Source organism: Homo sapiens, chromosome 22, assembly GCF_000001405.40.
Source record: "Homo sapiens chromosome 22, GRCh38.p14 Primary Assembly".
Taxonomy (NCBI): Eukaryota; Metazoa; Chordata; class Mammalia; order Primates; family Hominidae; genus Homo; species Homo sapiens.
Window position 1 is genome coordinate 43,502,955 of NC_000022.11, and position 6,000 is coordinate 43,508,954.

Consider the following 6,000-nt stretch of genomic DNA (forward strand, 5'->3'; position numbering starts at 1 on the left):
ACATCCTGCATGACTTAGGGGGTAAATTTTGCTTCCGGGGAGCCCTGCAACTCTGCTGTGCCTCCAGCCTGGGAAGCCGTCGGGAGGTGGGCAGGGGGTTTTCAGAGGAAGGGGCATTTGAGCCGTGACATGGAGGATGCATTATATTTGGTGGGCACACCATGAATCCCTTAAAACTGGTGGCCCTGTCTTGTTGCTTCTGTCCCCAGGGCCTGGCATACAATAGGTGCTTAATAAGTGTGGAGGGACTACCTGTGATGGTGAGGGTGATGTCAGCTCCGGTTCTATCATCCACATGGCCACGCCCTGGCCTGTTGCTGCGTGCAGGCGTTCCCTAGTAGACCTCAGCCATCCTCACCTGAGCCTCATTTCACCAGTTTGGCACAGATGCCTCTTTTTTTGCCCCTTTTGGATATTTATCCCACCTGCCCAAGGCCTCTCTGTCACATCCCTGCCAGGAAGCATATTGGCTGCTGTGGGATGTCTGGACTGACGTGGTTTCCCCCAGAGACATCTCCTGGCCTCCGGAACCTGTGTCTGGTTGGACCAGGGACCCCAGGCCTCCACATTGCCTGGTCCATATTAGATCGTTTTCCAGCTCAAAAGCAAGCAAGCCTCAAACCATTCATTCCCTGAGGGCCTCTGCAGCTCATTGTCAAGGGGAAGGAGTGATCAGACCTCACCTGGCCCTGGAGTAGCTCCTGGAGGAGCCCTAGGCACAGAGGAGTCATCAAAGCAGGATGTGAGAGGTCCTGGGAGAGATGGGCAGCTCACGTGCTGTGGGATAATAATAATAGCTGTCATTTTCTGTGGCCCTACTATGGGCATGTAGCTCCATCAGATCCAAAGTTGCCTTTGACCCAAACCACACCCCCACACAATTGGACAGGCACAATTGGACTCCAAAGAATAGGTCCTCACCCACCCACTAACCACTCCCTTCCTCCCCCAGCACCACGCAGGGAAGGGGAAATGTTCCTTCTATCTTGGAGATGACCTGAGCTGAAGGATGAGGGGGATTCTACCAAATAGAGGTGGTGAGAAGAGGGTATGAGGGAGGCAGAGAAAGTACATGACAATGATGATAATGATAGTGATGATGGTGAGAGGATGGTAGTGATAGTAGTAATGATGATGATGGCCATGTTCACAGTGGTGTGGGTAGTGATGATGGTGATAGTAATAATGTCAATGATGATGATGATGATACTGATGATGATGGTAGTGGTGACAATGGTGATAATGATAAACGCAATGGTGGTGATGATGATAATGGTGATGATGATGGTGATTGTGGTGATGATGATAGTGCTGATACAATAATAATGAGGGTGATAATAATGACAGTGGTGTTGGTGGTGATGATCATGATGACATCAGTGATGGCATCATCAATGATGACAATGATGATGATGATAGTGATGATGGTGGTATGCTGGTGATAACAGTGGCGATGATAATGATAAGGGTAGTGATGACGATCATGGTGACATTGGTGATGACACCATTCTTGATGATGGTGGTGGTGGTGATGAATGATGGTGGTGGTGGTGATGAATGGTAATTATAAGGGTGGCAATGATGATGTTGGTGGTGATAGCAAAGATGATGGCATTGGTGATGATGATGTTGATGGTGATGGTGGCGGTATGTTGGTGACGTTGATGGCACTAGTGATGGTGGTGGTGAGAATGGCGATGACAATGATAAAGGCAGTGATGATGATAGCATTGGTGATAATGATGGTGATGGTGGTGGTGATAATGATGATGATAATAGGAGCAGTGGTGATGATGTTGATTGTGGTAGTGATGATGATGGCATTGGTTATGATGATGTTGATGGTGGTGATGGGGATGATGGTGGTGATGATTGTAGTGATGATAGATAGCATTAGTGAAGATGATGATGATGGTGGTGGTGGTGGTGATGATAAGGGCGGTGATGTTGTTCATGGTGATAGTGATGATGATGGCATTTTTGATGATGTTGGTGATGGCGATGGTGGTGGTGATGATAAAGGTAGTGATGATGATGACGGTGATGGTAATGGTGGTGGAGGTAACAGTGAAGATGATGATAAGGGTGTTGGTGATGATGTTGATCATGATAGTGATGATGATGACATTAGTGATGATTATGGTGGTAGTAGTGGTGAAAAATAGTGATGATCACGATAAGGGTGGTGGTGATGATGATGTTGATAGTGATGATGGTGGTACAGTGGTGGTGGTGATGGTGACGAGGATGGTGGTGAAGATGATGTCGATGATGATGACTCACTGCGTGCTTCTTATGTGCCAGGCACTGGGCCGAGCACAGTACATAGATAATTATCTCATATAATCCTCACAGCAGGCTTGGAAGTGGCATGTATCATTATCATCTCCATTTTACAGATGAAGGGACTGACCTCGAGAGTTTACCAGCTTGCCCCAAACACATTCAGCCCACAGGGGCTGAGTGCCCTATGACTGCCACACCCCCCTGGCCACCCTCACTACTCTGGCTGCTGGCCTGATGGGCATGTGCTTACTTTCCAGGGTATGGTGTCATGGCAGATGGGACGACCACCTATGTGAATGCGTCCGTATGCACTGTGAACTACCAGCCCGTGAACCCGCCCATAGTCATCGACCTCCCCACACCCCGGAACTCCTGACTGCTCCCCACTGCCCCTGCCCTGCCCGCCCGTGTCAGCTCCACAGGCCTGGCCCGGCCACTGTTCCTTCCATGCTGAGTTGCCTGGACGACCCATCTGGCTGCGGGGACTGGCCTAGCAGGCAGGTCAGGGCCTTGGAACGACTCTTTAGCCTTCTGTCACCTGGAGTTGGGACCCTGCGCATCCCCATCAGGGGTTCTGTGCTCATTTACTTTTTCTGCGTGTACATCCTGCGTGTACCTCGTTAAAGGACCTACTAAGCTCATGGCCCTGTCATGTTTGGGAAATGACTAAATCTTCATTCTTCTCCCTTGGACGCCCTCCTGGTTTGGGAAGCTGCTGCTCTTGAATGGGTTTTGGAAGTTACACAAAATCTCCCTCTAACCACGGGTCTGTGTGGCGGCATGCCCCTGGGTTGGGGTGGGTGGGAGGATTCGTGAGCTGCACACAGACAGTCCCTTTCTCTCCTCCCAAGTGAGGGAGGAGACAGGCCCAAGGCGGAGGCCCTCCGAGGGAGCATTTAGGGACATCTCAGGAATTCAGACCGCACCTGGCCAGGCCCACAGCTGTTTGCCTGGCATTGTTCCCCCCTTTTTCTTCCCATAGGCATTTTTGTTTACTTGAACAATGACCTGAGTGTCCTAGGCATTCACTCGGAGCCTGGATGATGGGGGCTGGTTCTACAGAATGAGCCACTGGCATTCGTGCCCAGGACCAGTGAGAGCGTTCCCAGTCATGGGGGGATGACCCTTGGTCCCACGGGGAACACACTGCTCTGTAGAATGCGGTAGCCTGGATGGAGGGTCTGCAGGCTTAGGCTGCAGCAGGCCTGCCATGGGTGTGAACCCATGTCCAGGCACGCACCGACACACATGCACGCACGCACCCCTCTTAATTGAACCAAGTGGGTCCTGTGTTTCTCTTTTCTGCCCCGTAGTGAGGTTCTGTTCCTTGGTGCGGCTTCCCTTGCACCGTTAGGATTCTGTCTGGCATGCCTGCAGCCGAGGAAGCCCAGGACCAGCCGGCCCTGTGAATTGGAGGGTGGCACAGGGACCGAGCGGGCCCCAGGCTCCAGCAGCCCCACCTTGGACAGCTTCTTTTTCTTCTTTGAATTAGGACTGGAGGGGGTGGGGCCAGGGCGGTGGTGGGAACCGGTAGGGCCTAGATGAGGGGCAGGCAGTCAGGCAGAAATGGGCAAGTTCAGGGTCAGATTCTGTCGTTATTTAATATTTTGTTCATCATGGACTTTTTCTGCATTTATTTTGATTTTTAACGTTGCATTAAAGTAGTATTATTTGTCCTGATTGGTGACTTTTTTTGCACCCCTTTCCGTTGTACATCTGAGAGAAGGGTGTCACTCCCTCACCCAGGTCCCAGCCCTGGGAACCAGCCTACCGTGAGCCCTTTTGCAGATATAGACTCATTTCATCCTCAGATGGTCCTTCAAGGTAGGTACTTTAGTCCCATTTTAGAGATGAGACGATTGAGGCCAGAGGGGTGTGGTAACTTGCCTGGGGGCTCACAGCACAAAAGGAGCCGAGGCAGGATCTGACCCTTGTTCTCTGGCCTCACTGCCCTCACTTTGCCATGACCCGAAGTTATGTCCCTACAAAGCAATGCATGGTCCAAGGCTCTTTTTATTGTATTTTTATTTTTAAGGGTCCTGTTCAAAACTGGTGTGAGCTCTGAGGAGTCCTGAACCCTGGGTGCAGCATCCTAGCATCCTGGGAGTCCTTTTCTGCCCACACTGAGCTGGGCTCCTCGAGGGGTGGGGCTGCTGTCCCTGGAAGCCTGGCAGCAGCACTGTATCGGGTTGGCTGAAGCTGAGCGCCGTGGGGTGCAGGGCTCCAGGAATCCCGTTTGGCTGAAGGGGTTCCTGTAGCCAGGGATGTTTATGAGGTCTCTCTGATGCCCCAGGCGCAGGACATGTGTGCGGGTGGAGAAAAGCAGGCCCTTTCAGTGCCAGCTCCACTCAATTTCTATGTGGACCAAGAACGATAAACTTAAAAAAATTTTTTTCCTAAGGTATCTTCAGAATATGGTGTATTTTTATGTGGAAAAGAAAAGTTATGAAGGCAGCTGTTACTTTAAGAGAAAATTCATTAAAAGTCCTCGAGGTATGAAGATGACGGCGTGCTTCTCAATCATTTTGGCATAACTTGATTGTGGCTGTAATTTTTTTTTTTTTTTTTGTCAAGCATGTCAGACAATAAAGTCTTTGTAAAAAGAGAAGTCCACGCGGCACCTCTTCCTTCCACATCTCTGGCTGTTGTCTGGGACACATGGTGGCAGCGTGGTGTCCTCTTGCAGAATGCTGAGGCCTGGACAGAGCTTGGATGCCAAAGACCTCCTGTGTGGCAGCAGTCGGTGTCCCTCTGCTTGCTTTAACCTCCCCTGGGGTGGGGGGATCCCAGAGGTGGTGGTGTGGGCAGTTCTGGGTCCTCTTTTGTACAAATACTTGGCTGCCTGGTCTCCCAAAACAGAACACCTCCAGAGGCCTTAGCGCTGGACTCTTCCTGGAAATGGCATGTTCAGCCCAGCCCCTGTGAAACACAGGGTCCAGACATTGCCCAGGAGAAACACTGGCAGGTACAACGACCCTAGTCTGAAAGCCCCCAAGCTGCAAAAGTTCTGTCATTTTTATCCATCTGTCCGTCCATCCCTCTATATACCATCCACCCCTCCTTCCAACATCCATCCATCCATCCATCCCCCATCCTTCCATCTATCCATCCCCCATCCCTCCATCTATCCATCCCCATCTATCCATCCATCCATCCATCCATCCATCCCCCATCCATCCATGCCCCATCTATCCATTCATCCATCCCCCCTCTGTCATCCATCCATCCCCCATCTGTCCATCCATCCATCCTTCCATCTATCCATCCCCCATCCATCTATCCATCCATCTCCCATCCATCCATCCATCCATCTCCCATCCATCCATCCCTCCCTCCACCCATCCATCCCCCATCTATCCATCCATCCCCCATCCATCCATCCCTCCCTCCATCCATCATCCATCCATCCCTCCCTCCATCTATCCATCATCCATGCATTCATCCATCCATCCCCCATCCTTCCATCCTTCCCTCCCTCCCTCTCTCTATCCATCCATCCCTCCATCTATTGATCCCCCATCCATCCATCCCCATCTATCCCTCCATCCATTCCCCATCTATCATCCATCCATCCCCCATCCCTCCATCCATCCATCCCCCATCTATCCATCCATCCCCTCATCCATCCATCCCCCATCTATCCATCCATCCATCATCCATCCCCCATCTATCATCCATCCATCCCCCATCCCTCCATCCCCATCTATCCATCCC

At 51.2% G+C, this 6,000-nt stretch overlaps 1 protein-coding gene across 2 annotated transcripts in view; it reads left to right on the forward strand.

Annotated features, from left to right (window-relative positions):
• MPPED1 (metallophosphoesterase domain containing 1) overlaps positions 1-4,894 on the forward strand; it is a 95,835-nt gene extending 90,941 nt beyond the window's left edge. For both annotated transcript variants that reach the window (NM_001044370.2, NM_001362786.2), the window contains exon 7: positions 2,544-4,894. In NM_001044370.2, coding sequence (NP_001037835.1) covers positions 2,544-2,662 — 119 coding nt within the window. In that variant the 3' untranslated portion in view covers positions 2,663-4,894. The remainder of the gene's footprint in view (positions 1-2,543) is intronic.
• The last annotated feature ends 1,106 nt before the right edge of the window (positions 4,895-6,000 follow it).